General features: G+C 45.2%; 2 long non-coding RNA genes across 2 annotated transcripts, besides 2 other annotated features; one reads left to right on the forward strand and one right to left on the reverse strand.

Moving 5' to 3' along the window:
* Window positions 1-1,385: 1,385 nt before the first annotated feature.
* LOC107984710 (uncharacterized) lies at window positions 1,386-23,800 on the forward strand. The gene is made up of 3 exons (XR_001750863.1): window positions 1,386-1,653; window positions 4,131-4,290; window positions 23,701-23,800. It is a non-coding gene; the product is annotated as an uncharacterized LOC107984710 (long non-coding RNA).
* Window positions 14,788-15,408: an enhancer, noted in NCBI's record as "H3K27ac-H3K4me1 hESC enhancer chr14:95826326-95826946 (GRCh37/hg19 assembly coordinates)". NCBI's record gives its function as "activates a minimal SCP1, AML or CMV promoter by ChIP-STARR-seq in naive H9 embryonic stem cells {active_cell/tissue: H9 hESC(naive)}" and the evidence as "EXISTENCE:reporter gene assay evidence [ECO:0000049][PMID:30033119]".
* Window positions 15,409-16,028: an enhancer, noted in NCBI's record as "OCT4-NANOG-H3K27ac-H3K4me1 hESC enhancer chr14:95826947-95827566 (GRCh37/hg19 assembly coordinates)". NCBI's record gives its function as "activates a minimal SCP1, AML or CMV promoter by ChIP-STARR-seq in naive H9 embryonic stem cells {active_cell/tissue: H9 hESC(naive)}" and the evidence as "EXISTENCE:reporter gene assay evidence [ECO:0000049][PMID:30033119]".
* Window positions 16,145-17,079, reverse strand: LOC105370638 (uncharacterized). The gene is made up of 2 exons (XR_944172.1): window positions 16,872-17,079; window positions 16,145-16,672 (listed from the first exon to the last, which is right to left on the reverse strand). It is a non-coding gene; the product is annotated as an uncharacterized LOC105370638 (long non-coding RNA).

The raw sequence follows: 23,800 nt of genomic DNA on the forward strand, positions 1-23,800 counted from the left end.
GAATTCGCAAAAAGAAAGTGTAAAGACTATTGACTAAAAGTGAGACAAGTGAGACTGGGTAAATGGATTTCCTTCATAGACTGTCTGAGGCAGGGCATGTACAGTGTCTGATGGAGGGCTCATAATCACAGTTATTGTTGCTCCACTGAGAATAGGTCCTTTGCACCTCTGGAGTCACAGAAATGGCAGCCCAGCAAAGAGTGAAGGAACAGCCATCGCCACTCAAAACATGGTCACAGTGGCCTCAGAACCTTGGGATTTGCAAGGCACTTGACACTTTGTTGCAAAGACCTAACATGAACCACACTCTTGCTACTATTCATCAGTCTCTATTTCTAGGTGAATGGGGTAGAAAAATATAGATAAAATTTTATGCAGGGAAAATCCCATCATCATTTTAGCCATCAAGGCCCCCTTAAAACTGCTCAGCAGAGGTGGTAACTTAGCGCAAGATTCACTGAGGAGGATTTCATTCTTTTCCTAGCATATTGATGACAGATTTATTTTTTAATTTGCGGTTTTTTGATGCATCCATCCATTCATTCACTAGTAACTCATTCATTCAATTATCCTTGCAGAATAGGGGCACACTAGGGCTATGGAAATGCATAAGCCATGGTTTGAAGTCGTGTGTGTGTGTGTGTGTGTGTGTGTGTGGGGCGGGGGGTGAGGGGGTATGACAGCAGCAGGTTGAAGACCTTGCAGTGAGTAGGATTAGTGCCCAGGATAGGGGCAGAGGACGCGCTACAGGGAGCGCAGAATAAGAGAGAGGTCAGCTTCATCTGGAGAGGTGGGAACAGCCTGCCAATGTGGCCATGGCTTGACTGGGGCTTGAAGAAAGAGCCTAAGTGTTCTAGCCTGGGAGTGGGATGGGCAGGCATCCAGGGCGAAAACAATATAGGCAAAGGCAGGAAATCAAAAGCCTTGGGAGAGCTTGGGGCATGAAGGCAGAGAAGACTTGGAAGGGCTGAGCCTGGACAGGTATGGATAGTAATGATTAGTAGTAAGAATAGCACTGGCTAACACTTACTTATTTAGTTGAATAATACCATTTATTGGCCAGGCGTGGTGGCTCAAGCCTGTAATCTCAACACTTTGGGAGGTCAAGGCAGGAAGATCACTGGAGCTCAGGAGTTCAAGACCAGCCTGTGTAATATGGTGAAACCTTATCTCTACAAAAAACTAGAAAAATTAGCCTGGCATGGTGGCATGCGCCTGTAGTCCCAGCTACTAGGGAGGCTGAGGTGGGAGGATCGCTTGAGCCGGGAAGGCCAAGACTGCAGTGAGCCGAGATCGAGCTACTGTACTCCAGCATGGGTGACAGAACGAGACCACGTTTTTTTAAACAAATGAAAAATAACATTTATTGAGTGCTTGCTGTGTGTCAGGCCCTTTAAGTGGAAAGAATATTCTGTCTTGTAGTGTTTAGCTGGGAATATTTTATTCATTTTTATCAAGGCCCTTAGATAATGACTCAAATGAATGGACTGCTGAACTCTGGAGTGGAGACTAGACCACGAAGGTAGAACTTGCAAAGGAAGTGGCTGAAGACTGCTTTTGTGACTTTTGTCTGCTCATCCACCGCAGGACAGACACAAAGGACAGGCCCAGGGATTGGAGGATTCCTAAGTGAAGCGGTCTCTATGCTGAGCTGTGAGTGGCCCCTCCCAGCTCCACCTCCCCACCTCCAACCCCACATCCAATCAGGGATGCATGGGTAGTGCTTTTCTCTCATCCAAGCTAGTTAGGGGGCTTTGAGGAAGCCTCAGAGAGTGTAATACCTGTTTCCTCCAGCTTCAGAGACACAGTGGGCTGTTGTTTGACTCACCCTTGAAGAATCCCAAGACCTTTACAAGGCTGCATGAAGTGGCTTTGGCAACAGAGCAGGGCAGCACAGCTGTGCTCCTGTTGACAAGGGGCAGATGATGCAGAAGAGTCCCCAGGAGCCAAGATGCTGTCTGGCCCTTAGGTCCCTACATCAGGCCCTGGCCAAGGGACTGAAGAAGCTTTAATTCTGAATGAAGTTAGGAATGTTGGCCACTATCTCAAATGAATGTAATATTTACTAAAATGAGATCAGGAGACCACTGTAATAGCAGGATTATTAGTAGTAATAGCAGTATCTAAGAGTGAGCATGGGCCGGGTGCGGTGGCTCACGCCTGTAATCTCAACACTCTGGGAGGCTGAGGCGGGAAGATCACGAGGTCAGGAGATCGAGACCATCCTGGCTAACAAGGTGAAACGCTGTCTCTACTAAAAAATACAAAAAAATTAGTTGGGTGTGGTGGCGCGTGCCTGTAATCCCAGCTACTTGGGAGGCTGAGGCAGGAGAATCGTTTGAACCCGGGAGGCAGAGGTGGCAGTGAGCTGAGATCATGCCATTGCACTCCAGCCTGGGTGACAGAGCGAGATTCCGTCTCAGAAAAAAAAAAGAAAAAGAAAAAGAAAAACGACAAAAAAAGAGTGAGCATGAAGATTCCCCAAGATTTCTTCAAGGAGCAGGGAACAGTCCCCAAGAGCAGACTGGAGCAAGCACTAGGGTGGAAGGGGAATGGGGGTGTTAGGGTAGGGGAGAATGTTCAGTGCCTGCACCTTATGAATTCTCCTCATTTGATGCAATAGTTACAGGCCTTCCAGCAATTCTAAAAGGTTGATTCTATTATTATTCCTATTATATAGATAAGCAATATGAGGCACACAGGTATTGAGAGGTCTTATGGCAGCTCCAGAATTTCAATATAGGCCAGGACAATGCATCTCCCTTCAAGTGGAGGAGGAGATACGATATTTGTGTTGAAGCTATTCCCATAACAAGCCAGCTATTTTCCTCCTGGACTGAAGTCTATGGGAATGGCTTGGGAGGGAGGAGGCTGATGGAGATAGGGGTGGAGGTAGTTAAGGCACCCTCCCAAGCTGGTTTTGGGGCTCCCAGTGGGTGAGACCCAAGGCAGAGAGACCCCTTTAGAGGCAACTGCAACAGTCCTGGGGTGGGTCTGGGTACTTGGACCCTGCCCTTGGGATGGAGATGCCAGGAGGAATTCAGGAGAAGCGAAAGGTCAGAAATTTCCCCTGGAGTAGGATTCAGGAAAAAAGGGATTACAGGAAGACACCCACATTTCTGCTTCCAAAGAGAAGCAACTTTCATGGAGATGGGGAGAAAAAGCCAAACAACCATGCATCAGGCAGCCTCAGAGAAACAAATGGAGGGGGCATGAGGCATCTAGAAACATGAGCCCTGGAAAATGAGGACTGGGCACCTTTGACATTTGCACAGCCCAGAGAAGCAGTCCCCAAGGAGCGTGGAGGCAGGAGCTAGGGGAGACAGCACAAGAATGGGAAAACCTTGGCCACGAACAGCTCCTCAGCACCCCTCGCTGGTCACGGGTGGGAGACAGGTCATCATTGAACAAGTTGCGCTTCAGTTCCATCTTTGTCTGTGTCACCCACCCTGGGAAACACCGATCTAGCCTTTGGACATCCTTTCAGATGCGACACAGGTTTGGAGAGGAAAGCAAAGGCCCATCCCTAAAAACTCACTGCCCTCCAAAGGGTGCTTTGGGCTTCTTTCCAACAGAAGGTGCACCCAGCCCCCCATGCCCGCTTGGTCTTGACTCCAGGAAATGACCTGTAGATTCTAGGAGACAGCTCTTATTTGTGTAACATTTTACTGGCCTCACCTGGCTCCAAAGATATTTACAAGTGTCAATATAAGGCAAAAAGCCCCAGCCAAGCCTTCAGCATCCCCAGCGAATGTACTTCATGCACCCAAACTGAATATCTCTCTTGCCTCACCCTAGACCTGGCCCAGGGTAAGACAAGCGAGACATTTGTCTTGGGTGCAAATTCCCTCCAACTGGAGGGAAATAAGTGAATTCTGCACAGCCTGATGGAGTCAAGGACAAAGATTTGGGCAGGATTTGAGTCTCGGTTGTGCCTATTACCATGGACCCTGGGACAAGTCTCTACTTCCTTTTGATGGACAGTTTCTGTAAAATGGGCATGTGATTCTTACTTTGAGGTCTCAGAAGGTGACTGTGAAGATCTGATGAGATACAGGATAGGGCTTTACAAGTAGTGATATGCATGCACAGGTAAAGACACAGATATTGTATTCCAAACCTGCAAACAGCTCCCTCTCCTCAATATTTTACGGCGCTGCTTGGTGGATGTGAATGGACTCTGCACTGTACGTGGGCGTGGACTCCGAGCAGAAGCAGGGGGGTGTTCTCGGGACCCTTGTGGCTGGCCAGTTGTCCTGTCAAAGCAGCTTCTTGCTCCCCAGGGGCCAGGTAAGAAAGAGAAGGTGGCTTTGTCTACACTCAGGACAGGTCTGATGGATGGTGGCATGGAGCACTTATCTTTATTTAAAATTTTGAGAGCTGGGCATAGTGGCTCATGCCAGTAATCTCAAGAGTTGGGAGGCTGAGGCAGGAGGATCACAACATAGTGAGACCCCCATCTCTACAAAAACTTTAAAAAAAATAGCCGGTGTGATGGCGTGCACCTGTGGTCCCAGCTACTTGGGAGGCTGAGGTGGGAGAATCATTGGAGTCCCAGCATTTGAAGCTGCAGTGAGCTATAATTGTGCCACTGCACTCCAACTTGGGTGATAGAGTAAGACCCTTTCTCAAAAAAAAAAAAAAAAATTTCATTGATATTTTGTTCATATGGGATTTTTCTGCAGTAATGTTGATTTTCTAAAATATTACTTAGCTACAAAGTTTCTTGGTGCCCCCTTAAATTTTGCACCCAAGGCGAGTGTCTCACTTGCCTTGCCCTAGACCTGGCCCAAGTTCTATCAGTTACTGAGAGAGATGTGTTAAAATCTCCAACTATGATCATAGACTTGCCTCTTTCTCCCTTTAATTCTGTTGATTTTTGCTTTACCTGGTTTGAAGCTCTATTATTCCTAAATACACATTAAAGATTTTTTTAAATGAATTTACCCTTTTAACATCAAAAACCTTCCTCGTCTCTAGCAACACACTTGTCTTGAACTCTACTTTCTCTGACACTATTATATTCACACTCGCTTACTTATCCTCCCTGTTTTCGTGTTAGATTTTTTTCCTGTCACTTTAATTTCAGAACTGTGTTCTTCTTTATATTAAAAGCTCTCTCTTGTTAACAGCATAGAGCTAGGTCTTGCTTTGATTTTTAACTTTTTAATCCAGTCGACAATTGCTGTCTTTTAATTGGGGGGTTTATTTTATATTTAGAGTAATTATTGATGTGGTTGGATGTAAGCCTCCATTTCCTACTTATTTTCTTTTTCTTCTTTTCTTCATTCTTTATTCTTTCTTTCAGGCTTTCTTTTGGGAAAATTGAGTATTGTTTTGTGTTCCAGTTTTACTCTCTTCAGTTATTGCCATTTTGGCTGTATCTATTTTTGTTTGTTTGTTTGTTTGTTGGGTTTTTTTTAGTAGTAATACCTTACCACTAACACTTTGGGTATTACAATATGCACCCTTAATTTATTTTGATTTACCATAAATTAATACTATACTGCTTCATGTAAACTACAAGAACTACAATGGCATAAATCCATTTATTATTCTCTTGTCCTTTGAGCTTTTATGGTCATATTTTTATTTCTATATAAGTTATAAATGCTACAATATGTTTTAAATTTTTTCACTTTAAATGCATATATTGACCAGGTGAGGTGGCTCACGCCTATAACCCCAGCACTTTGGGAGGCCAAGGCAGGGGGATCACTTGAGGTCAGGAGTTTGAGACCAGCCTGGCCAACATGGTGAAACCCCATCTCTACTAAAAATACAAAAATTAGCTGGGCATGGTGGTGCACACCTGTAGTCCCAGTTACTCAGGAGGCTGAGGCAGGAGAATCACTCGAACCCAGGAGGCAGAGGTTGCAGTGAACCGAGATTGCGCCACTGAACTCCAGCCTGGGCAACAGAGCAAGACACCGTCTCAAAAAACAAAATAAAACATACACGCATATCTTTTAAAGAAATTAAGAAAAAAAATGGTCATTTGTTCATATATTTAATTACCTAGTAATCTTCTTTCCTTCCTTGAGACCTGTATTTCCAACTATATCCTTTGCCTTTAGCCCAAAGAATTTTTAAAAACATTTCTTGTAGCATGGCTCTGCTGGCACTGAATTCCTTAGATTTTGTTTTTCTCAAAACATCTTTATTTTCCTGTATTTCTGAAGAAAATGTTTACTGAATGTAGAACCCTGGCTTGGTGGTTATTTTGCTTCAGCACTTTAAAGAACATGGCACCATTCTGTCCTCCATTGTTTCTATGGAGAAGGCAGCTGTCATTCTTATCGTATCCCCGGATTTCATATATCTTTTAACTTCTGGAGTCTTTAAGATTTTCTGTTTATTTTTGCTTCTCAGGCATTTGATTATGATGTGGATTTCTTTATTTTAGTATTATTATTATTTTTTCCTTCTTGGGTTTGTTGAACTTTGGGAGCCTGTAGATGCTGGAAATTTGAAAAAAAAAATGGCCATTATTTCTTCCTATATTTTTTTCTGTCTCGTTTCCTCCGTCTTTGGGACCCTGGTTGACATATGCTAACCTGTCAGGTGTTGTCCCACTAATTACTGAGATGCTCTTCCTTATTTTTTTCAATATTATTTTCTCAGTTCAGATCATTACATCGTGTGTTTTTTTCAAGGTCATGCTCATTTCTTCCGCCACTTCTGATCTGCTTTAAGCCCATTCAATAGATTTTACAGATTTATTGATGTATAATTGCCATACAATAAATCACACATATTTAAAATGTAAACCTGGAGGAGTTTTGACATAGGTTTATGACTATACAAAGGGCACCATCCCCAAAAGCTTCCTTGGGCTACTTTGAAAGCCATTCCTCTCTCTCTGCTTTCTGATTGGTTTGCATTTTCTGGAATTTCATGCATCTTTTCTTTTTCTGGCTCTTCCTCCCAGCATGATAGCTACGCACTTCATCCATGTTGTTGCGGGGTGCCACAGGCATCCCTGCTTGACTACGTGCCTGTTTTTATTGTTATATAGATGCACCACCGTTTGTTGATCTGCTCATCTGCTGATGGGCCCCTGGGCTTTTTCTCGTTTTTAGCTATTAAAAATAAAACTGTTATAAGCATTCATGTAATGATCCTTGTGTGGAAATATGCTGGCATTTCTTTCTTTCTTTCTTTCTTTCCTTCTTTTTTTATTTTTTGAGACACAGTCTCACCTTCACCCAGGCTGGAGGGCAGTGGCGGGATTTTGGCTCAGTGTAACCTCTGCCTTCTGGGTTCAAGCGACTCTCCTGTCTCACTCTCCCAAGTAGCTGGGACTACAGGTGCCACCACCACGCCCAGCTAGTTTTCATATTTTTAGTAGACACAGGGTTTCACCATGTTGGCCAGGCTAGTCTTGAACTCCTGACCTCAAGTGATCTGCCCGCCTCAGCCTCCCAAAGTGTCGGGAATACAGGCATGAGCCACCATGCCCAGCCGTGCTTGCATTTCTTTTGTGTAAATATGTAGGGATGGAATGGCTGAATCATATGTAGGTATGTATTTAGCTTTTATAAAAACCACCAAACTGTGCTTCCAACGTGGCTGTTCCATTTTACATGCCCACCAGCAGTGCTGGACACCCTACATTGCTCTCCATCCTTAGAAATACTTGGTATGGTCTGTCTGTTTAAAATAGTGAAGAGCTTTAGAAGTGATAAATACCGTATGTTGGTAAATATAAAATATATTATTTCTTTTAGAAAATCCCTTTAACGGCTTGGCAATGTTGTCCATGCCTGTAATCCCAGTGCTTTGGGAGGCTGAGGCAGGAGGATTGCTTCAGGCCAGGAGTTTGAGACCAGCCTGGGCAACATAGCAAGACCTTGTCTCTACAAAAATAAACACAAATAAAAAAAGTTAGCCAGGTGTGGTGGTGCACACCTCTAGTTCTAGATATTTGGGAGGCTGAAGTGGGAAGATGGCCTGGGTGACAGATCAAGACCCTCTCTGTAAAATAAATAAATAAATAAATAAATAAATAAATAAATCCTTTAAAAGGTAATTATTAAAAGTAAAACTACTATCAACTAACATATTGTAAGGTGGAGTTTATAACATACATAGAAGTAAAAATATATGACAAATTAGAACAATGGCCAGGAGAGGAGAAATGGAAGTATACTGTTATAAAGTTTTCATATAGCACATGTCGTGTTATAATATCACTTGAAGGTAGATTGTAATAAGGGAAAAATGTGTACTATAACCCTAAAGCAACCACTAAAAGAAAACAGAGAGGGGTAGCCAAGAAGCCCACAAGAGATAAAATAGGATCATAAAAGAATTCTCAGCCGGACACAGTGGCTTACACCTGTAATCCCAGCACTTTGGGAGGCTGAGATGAGAGGGTCACCTGAGGTTAGGGGTTCAAGACCAGCCTGGCCAACATGGTGAAACCCCATCTCTACCAAAAATACAAAAATTAGCTGGGCGTGGTGGCAGGCACCTGTAGTCCTGGCTACTTGGGACGCTGAGGCAGGAGAATCACTTGGACCCAGGAGGTGGAGGTTGCAGCGAAGCTGAGATCACACCGCTATACTCCAGCCCGGGCAACAAGAGCGAAACTCCATTAAAAAAAAAAAAAAAGCTCAACCTAAAAGACGGCAGAAAAAGAGGAAAAGGAAACAACAGATGGCACGCTATCAACCAGCGTGACTTAGCTGATATTTATAAAACACTTCACCCAAGGACAACAGAATACACACTCCTCTCCAACGCACATGGAATATGTACCAAAGTAGGCCATATTCTGGGCTACAGAACAAGTCTTGATAAATGTAAATGAACCCCCACTTTACAAAATTTGCTCTGTGCTCACAAATTAGACATCAATACCCAAAAGACATCTGGAAAATGACATAATATTAGAAACAAAATAATATACATCTAAGTAATGCATGGGCCAAAGCAAAAATCAAAAGTTGCCCATATCAAAACATCTCATGTACCCCATAAATATATACACCTACTATGTACCCACAAAATTTAAAAATTGGGGTGGGGGGAGAGGGGAGCGATAGCATTAGGAGATATACCTAATGTAAATGACAAGTTAATGGGTGTAGCACACCAACATGGCACATATATACATATGTAACAAACCTGCACATTGTGCACATGTACCCTAGAACTTAAAGTATAATAAAAAAAATTAAAAAAAGAAGAAATCAAAAGTAACTCAAAGTGAATGAAAATAAAAACTGACATTATCAGTACTTGCAAGATGCAGCTAAAGTGGTGCTCAGAGGAAAATTCATAGCATGAATTGCCATTAAAAAAGAGGAAAGGGCCAGGCTTGGTGGCTCATGCCTGTAATCCCAGCAATTTGGGAGGCCAAGGTGGGCAGATCACGAGGTCAGGAGATTGAGACCATTCTGGCTAACACAGTGAAACCCTGTCTCCACTAAAAATACAAAAAAATTAGCCAGGTGTGGTGGCGGGCACCTGTAGTCCCAGCTACTTGGGAGACTGAGGCAGGAGAATGGTGTGAACCTGGGAGGCAGAGCTTGCGGTGAGCCGAGATGGCACCACTGCACTCCAGCCTGGGTGAGAGAGACAGACTCCGTCTCAAAAAAAAAAAAAAAGAGGAAAGGTCACGAAGCAATGACCTAGGCTTTTACCTTAGGAAACAAGAAAAGAGAGAGCAAATCAAGTCCAAAGTAAAAAGAAGAAAGGAAATAATAAAGTAAAATTAGGTATCAGTGACATTGAAAAGCCAAGAGGAGACAGAAACACAAAGTCAAATACTGCATGTTCTCACTTATAAGTGGGTGCTAAATGATGGGTACACAGGGGCATGCAGAGTGGAATAGTAGACATTGGAGATTATGAAACATGGGAGGGTGGGGATGGGGGTGAGGGATAGAAAATTCCCTATTGGATACAATGTTCACTCTTCAGATGATGTGTATAGGAAAAGCCCAGACTTTACCACTATGCAATATATGCATGGAAGAAACCTGCACTTGTACCCCCCAAAAATATACAAATAAAAAATTAAAAAGGAGAGAATGAAACAAAAGCTTTTTCTTTGAGAAAATCATAAAATTATATGCTTTCTTTTTTTCCCAAGAGTTGTATTCCCACCAGTTCTGAATTGCATTCCAGTGCCTTCAAATGGTTTTTTAAAAATTTGCTATTCAGAGATTTTAATGGTTACAATCAGGAGGCTTGGTCAGATTCAAGCCACCCCACCATTTACTGTACCTGGAACCCTGGCTTCCATAGCTACTTGTCACACTGTATGCTTCCTTCTGTAGCCTTCTCTCCTACTTATTTGATGTTTCCCATTGTCTGTGAGCCAGGAGATCGAATAATCATACTTGTGAGAATTGTATAACAGCCAGAATCAGTGGCTCTGGCAGACTCTCTGGTGAATGAGGTCTGTGCGTTTCCATTCAAACACCTCTTTTGTTTACTTCCCAGGAGATGGTATGATGTAATGAAATGGAGATGGGCCACAGAGTCTGACTTGACCGAGGTTCAAATCCTAGGTTTGCCACTTAGGAGTATCATGACCTTGGGCAATGTACCTCACCTCTGTGGACTCAGTTTCCTTACCTGTGAAATGAGGTTGCATTGAATCTCCAGACTGCTGTAGGGCCTAAAGGACATAATATATTGAAAGTTCCTAACATCACCCCTGGCACCCCCTGGTGCTCAGCACAAATGACCTTTCCTTCCTTAACCCTTTCCCTCCTGTCCTGGAGAATATCTGTTGACTGGTAAGTTACCTCCAGATGAGTAAATCAGGGTGTGTCGAGGTATTAATATATATTTGAGCCAATTTGCTTTTTAAGTTTTCTTTGTGCGTGTGCTAACAAATTGTAAAGGCATCAAAGATTCTATTCACTACTTTCCAGTTCCTTGGCCACCCCCCTCTGCCACCGTTAGGCTGAATCAGCTCTGGTCCTGAGTCCCCCACCAGAATGACTATGTCTGGGGCCAATAAAGTCCATTGCCCATCCCAGGGGGCACTATTGGCCATCATTAACATTAAATTCTATAGTCCTGGCCGGAGCGAGAACCCATTCTCTCCCCAGTCACCAGGACAGGACCAGCAGGCTGGGAATGTCACTTTATTTGGATTTGGTTCATGGGATGGGGGTCTCAGAACAAATTGGAAGGCCTCACACCGGCAACTGGGCCCAACCAGCTGGGCTCCTGACCCGGGACCTCGTTCTGGCCTGTCTCCCCAAAGCTTATCCACCTAGGATGAGTGCCTTGAAAGTGTACCAAAAATAGAAGTGGCGACGTTTTCAGGAGTTGGTGAAGTCTGACCTTTTACCCTTAGTGAGTCTGTGTAAGGCGTGAGACAACATGGTCTGTCGTCCTTTACGTGCAGGTTTTGGGCAGATGTGCAGATGACGCATCTACCTGCCTTGGGTGTAGTGTGGCGGCCACCAGACCAAGCCTCGTCCAGCTGCCTTCTGCTGAACAGCTGTGGACCCATAAAAGGAAATGCCAGACCTCCCAGCTCTTGCCTCAGAGACAAGCCTCCCTCACATCTATCTCCTCCACCAGCCCTCCCCTGAAAACTGAATTTAAAATCAAGCAGGGCTAGGGAGTCACCGCTCCTGGGGTGTTTTCAGGAATTATCACAGGCCCTGTTCAAAGTGTATAATGTTCTTAAACTGACAGGATTAGGGGATTAAAATTGTATACATTCTAGAATCCAGGTATCAGAAACTCTCTTGAGAAAAAAATGCCTGGCTTGGTGGAGGGGAGTTAAAGTGCTGTAATATCTAGCAGGTGTCTTCAAAGGCCTGCACATGGCCCACGCATTGTCTAACTATGCACTTGTTCATGTGTTGCTTCATTCATTCATGCACATTTATTCATTAGATTGTTTATTTGTTCACACATCAAAATAATATTTCTTGAGCACCTATTATGTGCCAGACACTGAGCTGGGTACTGGGGTTGCTGGGGCAAATGTGATGGCCCAACTTTGCCTCTTCAATACCCACTCCCCATTCTTCTGGCATCAACATCCTGAATTTGTTTAGGGGACAGCCCATCCAATGGACAGAGCCTGAGTGGGGCCCACATCCAAGTGGGGCCTGCCCTTCTGTGGCCCAGTGCAGGCCAGTCAAGAGTATTCCCCCTGGAATTGGAATCTTGAGCAGCATAACATGACAGGGACAAAGGATTACTCTTCATGTATAGCCCTGGCACCCCCAGAGACTCTCCATGTGCCCCTGCCCTGGATCACTGCTGTTCTCTGAACCCAGTCTGGTTTTTATTCTAATTCTTTGAGCTCTCCCAAATCCTCCCAATCAATTTTGCTTTGCTTAAGTAAGCCAGTTTTATTTCCGTTACTAGCAACTCCAGAGCCCTAATATATTCTCTATCCCCCAAGAGCTCACAGTCTCGTAGGACAGACAAGTAAACCAATGATTTGGGCTCAGATACCCTTATAGCAATTACACTGAGCGTTCTGAGAGCCCAGAGGAAGGGCCTTGATTAATTTCTTAGCCTCAGTTTCTCTTTAAATGAAGAGCCCTGTAAACCACTCCAGGTATTCCAGTTATTCATTGCTTTATAATATACCATCCACAGCTGTATGGCTTAAAATATGGATGCATTATTGTCTCCTGTGGTTCTGGGATTTGACTGGACTCAGCCAGTTCTTGCGTAGGTTCTCTTATGCTGTTTGTAGTTGGATTCAGCTGGGGTTGGAATTATCTGAGGGCTTGACGTTGCAGGACGTCCAAGATGGCTCACACAGCATGATGACCTGCTGGTCGTCAACTGGGAGCATGGCTAAGGCTGTCCCTGGGAACATCCATATATGGCCTCTCTGTGTAAAGAATTTTACAACACAGAGTGCTCCAAGATCAACCCCAGAGACCCCAGTGGACACTGCAAGGCTTCTTATGACCTAGCCCTAGAAGTCCCAGAATACCACTAATGACCACTTTATATTTGTCAAGCAAGTCTGTAAGGCCAGCCCAGATTCCAGGGGAGGCAAATTAGACCCCACATCCTAATGAGAGAATGAGACAGTCCTACTACAGGTACAGCATGTGGGATGGGAGCTACTGTTGTGGCCATCTTTGGGAAACATGATTTCTCTCACCAGGTATTCCTTCTAGAACATTCCTTGGGCTACTCACATGCCCAAAATAGGTGGCAGATCTTTGGTGCTTGATCCTAAGTCTCTCCTATGTTAGATGTGACTAATTACTTTGGAAATACCAGTCCCCAGAGTCTTCTGGCATTGTCATGAAGCTTTGTCAACAGAATCAGACCAACCCTCAAAGCTTTAGATTCAAACTCTGTGTTTTCGTCTCAGTTCTAACGCTGAGTTGCTGTGTGAACTTGGTAAGTTGCTTCATCTCTCTGACCCTCAATTTCCTGCTCTGTAAAGGTGACTATTAAACATAGCAGTCCTGCTGAACTCCTGGGATTATGGTGAAAACAAAATGAAATTTTGCAAGTGAAGGAGATTTGTTAACTGTAAAGACCAGGGCACACATAGCAGATTATGGTGATGCCGGCTCCATTGAGGAAGGCACTTTCTATACATTACTCTCCCCAAATCCCTGTAAGGCAGGCAGGCAGCCTTGTAAGTGAGGAAATTAGCTCAAATTCCATTTCTTATTTAAGCCACTTGCTATAAAATTTGAGTCCAGATCTTCTGCAGGCCCCAATCCCTGAGTGGGCTTTTTTTCTTTTTCTCCTTTCCTTTTTTTTTTTTTTTTTTTTTTTTTTTTGGGACAGTCTCGCTCTGTCACCCATGCTGGAGTGCAGTAGCATGATCTTGGTTCACTGAAACCTCCACCTCCCAGGTTCAAGCGATACTTGTGCCTTAGCCTCCCAAGTAGCTGGGATTACAGTCATGCGCCACCATACCTGGCTAATTTTTTTTAGTAGAGACAGGGTTCTGCCATATTGGCCAGACTGGTCTTGAACTCCTGGCCTCGAGTGATCTGCCCACCTCGGTCTCCCAGAGTGCTGGGATGACAGGTGTAAGCCACCGCACCCGGCCCCTGAGTGGGCTTTTTAAGAGTTGCTTTTTCATTGTTAAAGAAACTAGAAGGACCTGGGTGTGGGTAAATCCCCACAGATTCTAGCTTAGAGTGGGTGCTTCATCCATAAGTGTTGGTTGAATGAAAGAATGATGGATGAATGAATGCATGATTAACGACCAACCTGGCATTTTGCTCAGGACACCTTCCGGACCTTTGAAAACTCAATTGAACCTCTCGTTATTCTTGTATTACTTGATTTCTTTCAGTTTAAAAACACGTAGTTCAGGTAGGGTAAATTCAGGTTTCTTTCAGATGTTGACTGCCCGGAAAAGTAGCAGACCTTACTTCTCTGATCCCGCAGCACCTGGCCACACTTTTATTTACTTATTTTAGAGAGAGTCTTGCTCTGTGGCCCAGGCTGGAGTGCAGTGGCACCGTCATGGCTCACTGCAGCCTTGACCTCCCAGACTCAAGCGATCCTCTCACCTCAGCCTCTGGAGTAGCTGGGACTATAGGCACGCACCACGACACCTGGCGAATTAGTTTTTTTTATTTTTTGTAGAGATGGAGTCTTGCTATGTTGCCTAGGCTGGTCTTGAACTCCTGGGCTCAAATGATCCTCCTGCCCCGGCCTCCTAAAGTGCTTGTATTACAGACCAGAGCCACGCTTCTATTAGGGTCCCCACCTCGCCCCCTCCCTGTCTTCATTCCTCCAGGGAACAGGCTGAGTCCCTACCTGAGCCAGGCACTGTGCTTGCCCTGAGAATGTGGAGTGGCAACCATTTATTGACTGTGCCATCCTGTTTCCGTATCTGTGACTCCACCAGGCAGACCTCACTGCTTACCCCACAAGGAGCCCTGGCGCCTTGAACTGTGCCTGGACCACAGGGCAGTGACCAGTGAGCGTTTATTAAATGAATAAACAAATGCACAAATGTTCCCAGTGAATGATTTTGGAAAACGCCCAAGTGTTGTTTCAGTTCAGTGAAAAGCGAACATTTGGCTTCAGCTGAGGTTCACTCCACCGTGGGTTGCTGGGTCATTTCAGTTCAGGGCTCTGTTGAGGAATGTGGGGTTTTGCCTGGGTTGGGTTGAGAGCAGCAATGGGTGCCTTTATCAGGGGCAGAGGGGCGCCCGGAAGCCTTTCTTTTGAAAGTCCCCGTGACCCCTAGCGCTGAGACAAATGCACCGTGTCGCTGCCCAGCGGCCGGCAATTCCCGCGCGCGCCCCCCAGCCCCCGTCCTCCCAGGCGCGACCTTGATGGAGCGACCCTTGGCCGCGGCGCCGGGACTCAGACAATGCACAATGCGCCGAGCCTGGGCCGCAGCTCCTCAGCGCGGCCACAAGCGCTCTATTGAGCCGGCTGGCGGCGGGCGCTGGAGGCGGCGAGTGGTGCGAGGAGAGGTGCTCTGAGGCCTCTTTGTTCAGGGGCTCACGTGGGGGCAGTTGCTCCGCCGCCCACACAAGTATGCAAAGCCTCCCTGACCCTGGCGGTGGAAAAAGCCTGCCGGCCACCCCCAACCAGAACCAGAATCGGGGTCTTATTCCATACCAGCAGCCCTGCCCGCCCATGCCTTGAAATCTCTATTTTCCGGTGGGGAAATTGAGGCCAGAGAGGCCAATGAGCTTGTGTGGACCTGGCCAACCTGAGAAGGCCTAGAAAGCCCCAAATTCACAAGAATGCATTAATAGGGGATGAAAGCCATAGTGAAAGAGATCATGGAAGAGGCCTCCTGTTGGTTTGGGCAAGCAAGGACGCGGTGTTTTTGATGGGCCCTCTACAGGGGGCGGGCCAGGTAATGGAAAGAATATGGGCCTTGGATCCCGGAAGTCCAGGCTCAAATCCTGGCTCTACTTGCGGTGTCTATGCAATCTTGGGCAGGCGTCTGACCGCTCTGTGCTTTTGTATAAAATATTACCTAGCTCACAAGATAATACACGCCCAGCCCTGGATCCCAGGGGACAGGCAGCCCTCTGGAACCACAGGATCTGACACTGTCGGGGACAGTGGAAGGGGCCCAAACTTCCCACCTGGAAAGACCTGAGACGCTTATGCTTTGATGTTTATGGACTGTGTGGCCTCTGAAGCTGCCTTTCTTATTTGTAAAGTGGGACTAATAATACCCCAGTCAGAGGGCTCCGGTGGAGTTTTAATGAGGTCACACAGTGAAAGCATCTGGCACATAGTAGGTGCTCAGTAAACAGCAGCTGTAGTGATTGCTGTGTCATCCCTGAGGATGCAGGATGTCACCCAGGCTCTGCCAGGTAGGCCAGCCTGGGGTGGCTTGCAGACAGGTAGGATCCTTGAGTCTCTTCAGGGCTGGAGACGGCCTTCCACTCCTGGGGGAGGACCTTGGGGAGGGGCACACCAGGAGCAGAAGGTGTTTGAGGTCGGCCAGTGTGGAGGCAACAGTGCCCCCTACTGGACAGTCTGCAGAGTCCGAGGGTCTCCGGCACCTTGGCCCGGTTGAGCTGCCGGGACCTGGCTGATCCTTCTGGAGGAGGAGCCTCTCAGAAATCTCCGGAGCTGGCCCCTCTCCCAGGTGAATCCTATTGTGTTGGCCGGAGGCACTACCCTCCCCACATCCTGCCAAGGACTGCCTTTCTTAGTTCAGCCGAGTTCATTCTTCTGTTTCTCTAACATCTTTCCATCTCTGGCGTCTTTCCTTTGGGAAACAAAAGTAGAGAGAGCTCCACCCAAATTAGCTGAGTTATTATCTGAAACTTGCCAACGGACTTTCTGACCCCAGGAGAGTAGATGGCGGCTCTGTGTCGCAAACAGAGCCACAGCCTCGACAGTCACCTGCCCTCCTGGAGGCACTGGGGCACTCGGAAGGGGGCGATGCATGTAAAAGTGCTTCTCACCTGAGAAGTCCTTCCGTCTCAGAAACGGGAAGGGTTCGTCTTTCTCCAGATTGCCAGCAACTTTCTTTCGGATTATATTCAATAAGTGTGCCATGGAGCAGATGTGAGCCTGGGTATCCGGCAGGCAGAGAAACCTGGAGAGAGACAAACGCCACACAGATAGAATTTCCATCACAATTGATGAACCTCTCTAGTCCTCTGGCGTTTCTGCAGAAGGCGAGGGCAGTAACGGGGCTGCTCATTGGCTTGCTCTGATCTGGGGATGGCCAGTTGAGACGAGTCTTGAATCTTTCCATGCTGTTTAATGAAACAAGCGAATGTGGCCCTTGCTCTGGGAGCTGGACTTTATCACCCAAGCAGGGTTAAGATTACTTCGATGGGCTTTTCTGACCTGAGGGGTGACCTGTGTGTGATCTCTGGTTTTCCAGGTGCAAGGGGCTGGTCCATGAGACGTCCACTTTTGGCTGCAGTTAGGTAGCAGTTTGCTAAGTTAGAAGGATAGAGAAATAGAAGAAAAGATACAGGGGTCTGAGAAGACCTCATGTCAAGCCTGTAGCATCTCCCACTGGGGCCCCGTTCGTGACAGCTGACTACCTGCCTTGCTAATTGCTCTTAGCACCCTTTGGCCAGCCTATCTGTGCACATATGCAGAGAAGGACTATGTGACTGAGCCGTGGGCAGTGCAGAGGGCTAAGAGACAGGCTGTGTGGGTTGAAGCCTGCTTTGCCCCTCTTCACCAACATCCACTAGGTCTACCTCTTCCCTGTCTTCTTGGTGACAGTTTGGATTCTAGTGACAATTAGCTGATGCCCTCAAGGAATTCACATCACAGCTCTGAGTTTGGGAAGGTAGGACTAGCTGAGCTCCAAGTCCCTCCAATCCTGGAACTGACTCTTTCCTCCTCTCTCCTCCCCAGAAAAGGGAGTGTGGGCTCCCCAGCCAGAGAGAGGACCCAGCTAGTCACTTGCCTGCCCTTTGACCTTTCTAGTCTCCCGTCCTCATCCAACCTTCCCTGTTGGATTCTGTGAGTGAAAGGAGACAATGTTTTGAGGTCCCAGCACCCCGGGGGGATGCTTAATCAGTGGCCATTCCCTTCCTCCCTCCTTCCCTCCTCCTATCCTCTCCCTCCCTCTTCTACCCTCTGGTCCATTATCTTGGCTTTCAGTTGGCCTCAAGTGACATAAACAATAAATGCCCCCTTTTTTTCCAACTGCTTTATTAGTCTTTAGTCAGGAGGTAAGAATAATAACTATAACTTACAAATTTATCTATAAAGGTAAGTCTTTCTCTAAGAAGGTAAAATAAACAAACAAACTAAATCCCACTAATAGTAGACTTTTCCCCAGGGACTAAAAACCACATTTGTTTTTTTCCATCAAAAGCAGTGCTTTCAAGTGGGGTGGGAGAGGGAGGGTTGTCCCCCATAAGACATTTTTGGTTGTCACTCCTGGAAGGAGATGAACATCACCCAGGGGGCAGAGGCTGGGGACGCTGTCAGACGTCCTGCAGTGCCCAGGACAGCCCCAGCACAGTGAAGGATTTTCTGGCCCCAAACACCAACGCTGCTGAGATTGACAAACCCTGGTCTCAACAATAGACACAGAGGCGTGAACATGCCGCTGCCAAACCACGTGTGTGTGGGGGGGTCCAGACAGACTCATTTCTAGAACAATCTGTGGGAGAAAAGTTGATAGCTGCTGAGCCTGGGAAATGGAAGTTCCGAGCAAGCAAAGCCCCCACATCCCTCCCTGAGCATTTCCGGACCCGTGGAGCAGCAGAAACAGCTCTGCTCAGTGGTCGAGGCCAGCCTGAGACAGTGCCTCTCAGCCCTCTTGCCGCTGGCAAGCCACTCAACAGTTCAGAGCCCAAAAAGTAGGACCAGGTCTATCAGTGTTTCCCTGACTAGAGAGATTTTAGAAGCCCAGAGTTGATTTTGATGATGCAGGGACTGTACCTTTAGGTAACACAGACCACATATGAAATGATTCTTCCCTTTTCAGTTTGCTTTCAAGCCTCTGTTAAGAAGAGAGTCTCTGGTGCTACTTTGTCTTGAACGCTTCTTTGACTTTTGTTTATCTCCCTTTTCATCAACAGCAGGCAGGCTCCAGGTTCACAGGCAATAGTGTGTTTATCTGGAATTTAATCAAGTGGACTTACTTCCATCGTATTCTTTGTTATGGCCACAGTTGCACTGCTGGCTTCCCATTTATGGTGGTGAAGTCAAGTTTCCTTTGACAATGAATTTAAGTAAGCAACCAAGTAGACTTGAGGACACATATTTAGTAAACTGCGTTATGGGTGGTATATGGAAGTGGCAAATTCATGAAGTGGGTTCGAGAATGCCTGGGGTGTGGGGGGAGGAGGGGGAGGCGTCACACTTGGTCATCCAACTCGAGTCTCAGTTTCCTCATATAGAAAGAATGACAATCTCTTCCCTGCCTGAGTAAATGGGTTTGAGCAAAATCAAGCAGCACGGGGCAGGTGAAAGCATTGGTCCCTTGTCCCCCTGACACCTGCAAGGTGCTGCTGTCCTTGTGATGACCTTCTCTGCAGGCCCTTGCTCTCTCTCTCTCTCTCTCTCTGGGTGGCCCAGCACTCTCAGCAGTTAGGGCTGTACTTGTGAGTGGCAAGGAAAGGGGCTAGCGTCATTCAACCCTCACTGCATGCCTCCATGCATGTTAGCTCATTTCATGCTCAGAGTACACCTGTGAAGAAAGTCTTATGCAGCCACACTTTTTAATGAGGAGCCTGGGGTTCGGGGAGAGGCAGTCCCAGGTCGAAGATCTACGTAACTGTTAAATAATAAAGTCCAGATTCAAGCCCAGCTCTGTCTGCCTTCAAAACCTGCACTTTTTCCACTAGATCACCCATAAAGGCAAGCTGCCCTTGACCCTGACCATCTGTAATCACTAAGCAAAAACACAGCAGAGGGTCAAGGCAAAGGTCACCAGCCAGGGGCCACAGGTCAGGTTGCCAGGCACTCCCTCTTTATCTCCGTACACTCACCTGTGGTGGAGTAGACACAGTGCAGGCTCAGTCCTGCAGACTCCTTTGATACTTCCTGGTAAGTTCAGCGCCATGTTGCCTGAGGCTCTTCACATGTTTTGGAGGAAATCTTGGCTTTGGAGCCCTGGGTTCAAACCCCAGCTTGGCCACTTGCTGGCTGAAGAGCTGCGTTAAATCTAGTTTACTCATCTGCGAAATAGGCATAATAATAGTAACATCCCTCTATGGGTGATGGGAGATTTACCAAAGACTATACGTAGTTGACATAACAATCATCAGCCCTCGATAAATAATGGCGTTTTGCTATAAATAAAATACAAGTGTCCATGTCTAATTCACAATTCACATAAAAGCCAGACCCGGGTCAGCTTACTTAAACAACAGTGTGGAAAGTTGTTGGCTGGAATTTTCTTCAGGGTAACTGAAGCTGAAATAAAGCAATGTGATTTGGGTTAACACCGTTTTATTGGTACTATTGCCTAAGAAATGAAAAGTGTGTGTTTGGTTATTTTGTTTGTTTTTTGACCCTACAAATTTCTAGAATTCCATTACACATGATGCAATTTGATTTCCAACATCTGCAAATCAGCATTCAGCTTTACTTCCTATTTCAGCCAGTGTGGGAGAGATTTTTTTGATTTCTTCTGAGCAAGAATCATCATAACTATTTTCCCCTCCCTTTTCTGCTGACAGGATGGTCAAAGAATAAGCTGTGTGTATTTTTCCCTACAAGTCACTCTGCTCCTTGATGCCTCAGTTTCTCTGTCTAGTGAAAAGGGCATGATGATTCGTCTGATTCCTATAGATTTCATGAGACTGAATGAGTGATCACTCTACTGAAGGCTGTCTTTTCATAAGAGGCATTGCATTCTGAATTTCATTCATTCAGCTGTTCATTCATATACTCATTCCACACACTTTCAAAAGCCTTGTCTGTGCCAGGCACTGTGTCATGTGCTGAAGCTCCAGAGATGCGTACAAAGTTGTTCCCACCTTTGTGTAGAGTAAGTCAGGAGGGCCAGACACAAAGGAACATACAATTGTACCAGTGTGAAAAAATACTGGGGAAGAGAGCTAATTCTGGAGATTAGCCCACTCACTGATCAGGGAGAAGACATCTGAGACAGACCTTCAAATTCAAGTGTGATGTGGGAATAAGGAGAGAATTGGGAGGGGGCCAGGTGCAGTGGCTCATGCCTGTAGTCCCAGCACTTTTGGAGGCTGAGGCAGGAGGATCACTTGAGCCTAGGAGTTCAAGACCAGCCTGGGCAACACAGAGAGACCCTGTATTTAAAAAAAAATATATATATATACATATATATATATATATACACATATATATATATATATATATATGTATATATATATACACAAAAATTAGCCAGATGTGGTGGCACGCAACTGTAGTCCCAGCTATTCCGGATGCTGAGGTGGGAGGATTGACTGAGCCTGGGAGGGTGAGGGGTGAGGAAGGAGGAGAAGAAGAAGAAGAGGAGGAGGAGGAGGAAGATTGGGAGATGAGGGAGGGCTGAAAGTTGAGTTTAGGTAAGAGTTTTTCAAACTGCAGATGGGAATCTTCCTGAGATCTATAGTAAGATCATACTGAAATGGCAACTATTTTAACTGAAATGGACTGGACTGGAATGGAATAGATTGGAATGTGTCTAGAGTTAAAGGGAAAAATAATTGTCTTATGATTGTTTTAAAGGTGTGTGTGTGTCTGTGTGTGTATGCTGGTTCTTGATATAAAATGTTCTTACTCTTATAGAGTAAAATTAAAAAGAAATTTTTAAAGGAAATTCTATGATCCAGATAAGAATCCAGAGGATCTCCATCAGTGGTGTGTAGTTAAATTTTTTAACAGTTGGCTAAGAAAAAAAAAGTAGGCATTCATATGTGTACATGTTTATTGTGCATTTTACTGATATGAAGGATTGTAGCACACAACTTACAAATAAGAAAATATATAATATTCTTTATTGCAAATTCCACAGAGCCAGTTGATTCTCATAGAATGCTTTTGAGAACTTTTGCTAAATTCTTATCTGTAGCTGACTTATGGTTGCATCTCAGTCATGATTTGAGAAGATTAAACTACAAGTAAATGTTTGAATACTGTCCAAGTCAGCAAAGAAGTGACTCACATCATTGATGAATGAGTATAGTTTCAACATGTATGTTGGTTGGTATTTTCATTTACTCTAATGAGTGAGAGAAGACTAAAACAACAAAGATTTACGTCAGAACTTCACTCACTCATCAGGCTGGACATGGTGCTCACACCTGTAATCCCAGCACTTTGGGAGGCCAAGGTGGGCGGAACACCTGAGGTTAGGATTTCAAGACCAGCCTGGTCAACATGGAAAAGCCCGTCTCCACTAAAAATACAAAAATTAGCTGTGAGGTGGGCACCTGTAATCCCAGCTACTCAGGAGGCTGAGGCAGGAAAATCACTTGAACCCGGGAGGTAGAGGTTGTGGTGAGCTGAGATCAAGCCACTGCACTCCAGGACAGAGTGAGACTCTGTCTCAAAAAAAAAAAAGAACTTCACTTATTCATCAATATTATGTCACTTCTTTACTAAGTTGGATAATAGTTTTCAAATTCTAAGAGTATTTTCTTAATTTTTTTAGTGCTTTTCACAATATAATGGCTACAGGTATAACATACTTTAAATATAATCTCTTGAGGAAAAATTGTGGAAGATTTTGAGGTGGATAAAAGATTACTGGATATTCTTTTAGTAAATCTCTGGGGCCTCCAGGGATTATCTCATGCTATAGAGGTATGTGCCTTTGTCTGTCTTTTTATTTTACAACCTTGCAGAGATGTTAACTTATAAAAAATTGATAGTGGGCAAATCTTTTATGTCCATGGCTAAGCAAATGATACCTGTCCAAGGTTATGCAAATGAATTTTACCAGGTAGAAAATGTAAATCTGTGCAAGGCAAATCCTCGTTTAACCCAGTTGTAACTTCTTACTGGTCCCTCATTAATTAATGGGTTAGGTAAAATAATTGACTTGTATTCATATTATACCTGCTTGAGAGTCATAATTTTAACCTTTTGTGAAAACTCTCCTCTCACAATCTTGATCATTAACACTTTCTTCATCACCTTCTTAAGTCTAGACAATCAATAAAACAATAAATCCAAGTCTCATGTGTAGCACTTGCCTATTTCCATGGTGTATATACTTCCACAGCAACAAATTTCAAGCTACTAATGTGTGCGATATTATCGAACATGGAGTTGGAAAGAGCTGCACAGTAGCATGCCATTATATAATATTACCAACCCGAGGCAGGTGGATGACTTGAGCCCGGGAGTTCGAGACAGGCCTAGGCAACATGCCGAAACCCTGTCTCTGCAAAAAATACAAAAATTAGCCGTGTGTGGTGGTGCACGCTTATAGTCCCAGCTACTCGGGAGGCTGAGGTAGGAGGACCACCTGAGCCTGGGAAGTGGAGGGTGCAGTGAGCCTTGATTGTGTCACCGCACTCCAGCCTGGGCTACAGAGCAAGATCCTGTCTCAAAAAAAAAAAAAAAAAAAAATATCATCACACAGATGCAATAAACATCCATATCCTCGAGAGCATAGGTAACAGTAAAATCTCATGACATAATCAGGAAGGGATACGTTTTAAGTATTTATTGCCACATTTTAATATAATTTATTTAAGTATATAAATTTAATATTTATTGTGCTTAGCAATTTCAAAATCTTGAAAATTTAACAATGGGTTCTTACAGGATCCCTGGATATCAAAAAACACACCCACAGAAAAAAATGTGGTTCTTCTTTTTCTCTTTTCTCTGCAGATGCTTGGGATTCCAATCAGTGGATTTAAATGAAGAAGCTGAGGCTGGGTGCGGTGGCTCACGTCTGTGATCCCAGCACTTTGGGAGGCTGAGGCGGCAA

This window comes from Homo sapiens, chromosome 14 (assembly GCF_000001405.40).
Source record: "Homo sapiens chromosome 14, GRCh38.p14 Primary Assembly".
Lineage (NCBI taxonomy): Eukaryota > Metazoa > Chordata > Mammalia > Primates > Hominidae > Homo > Homo sapiens.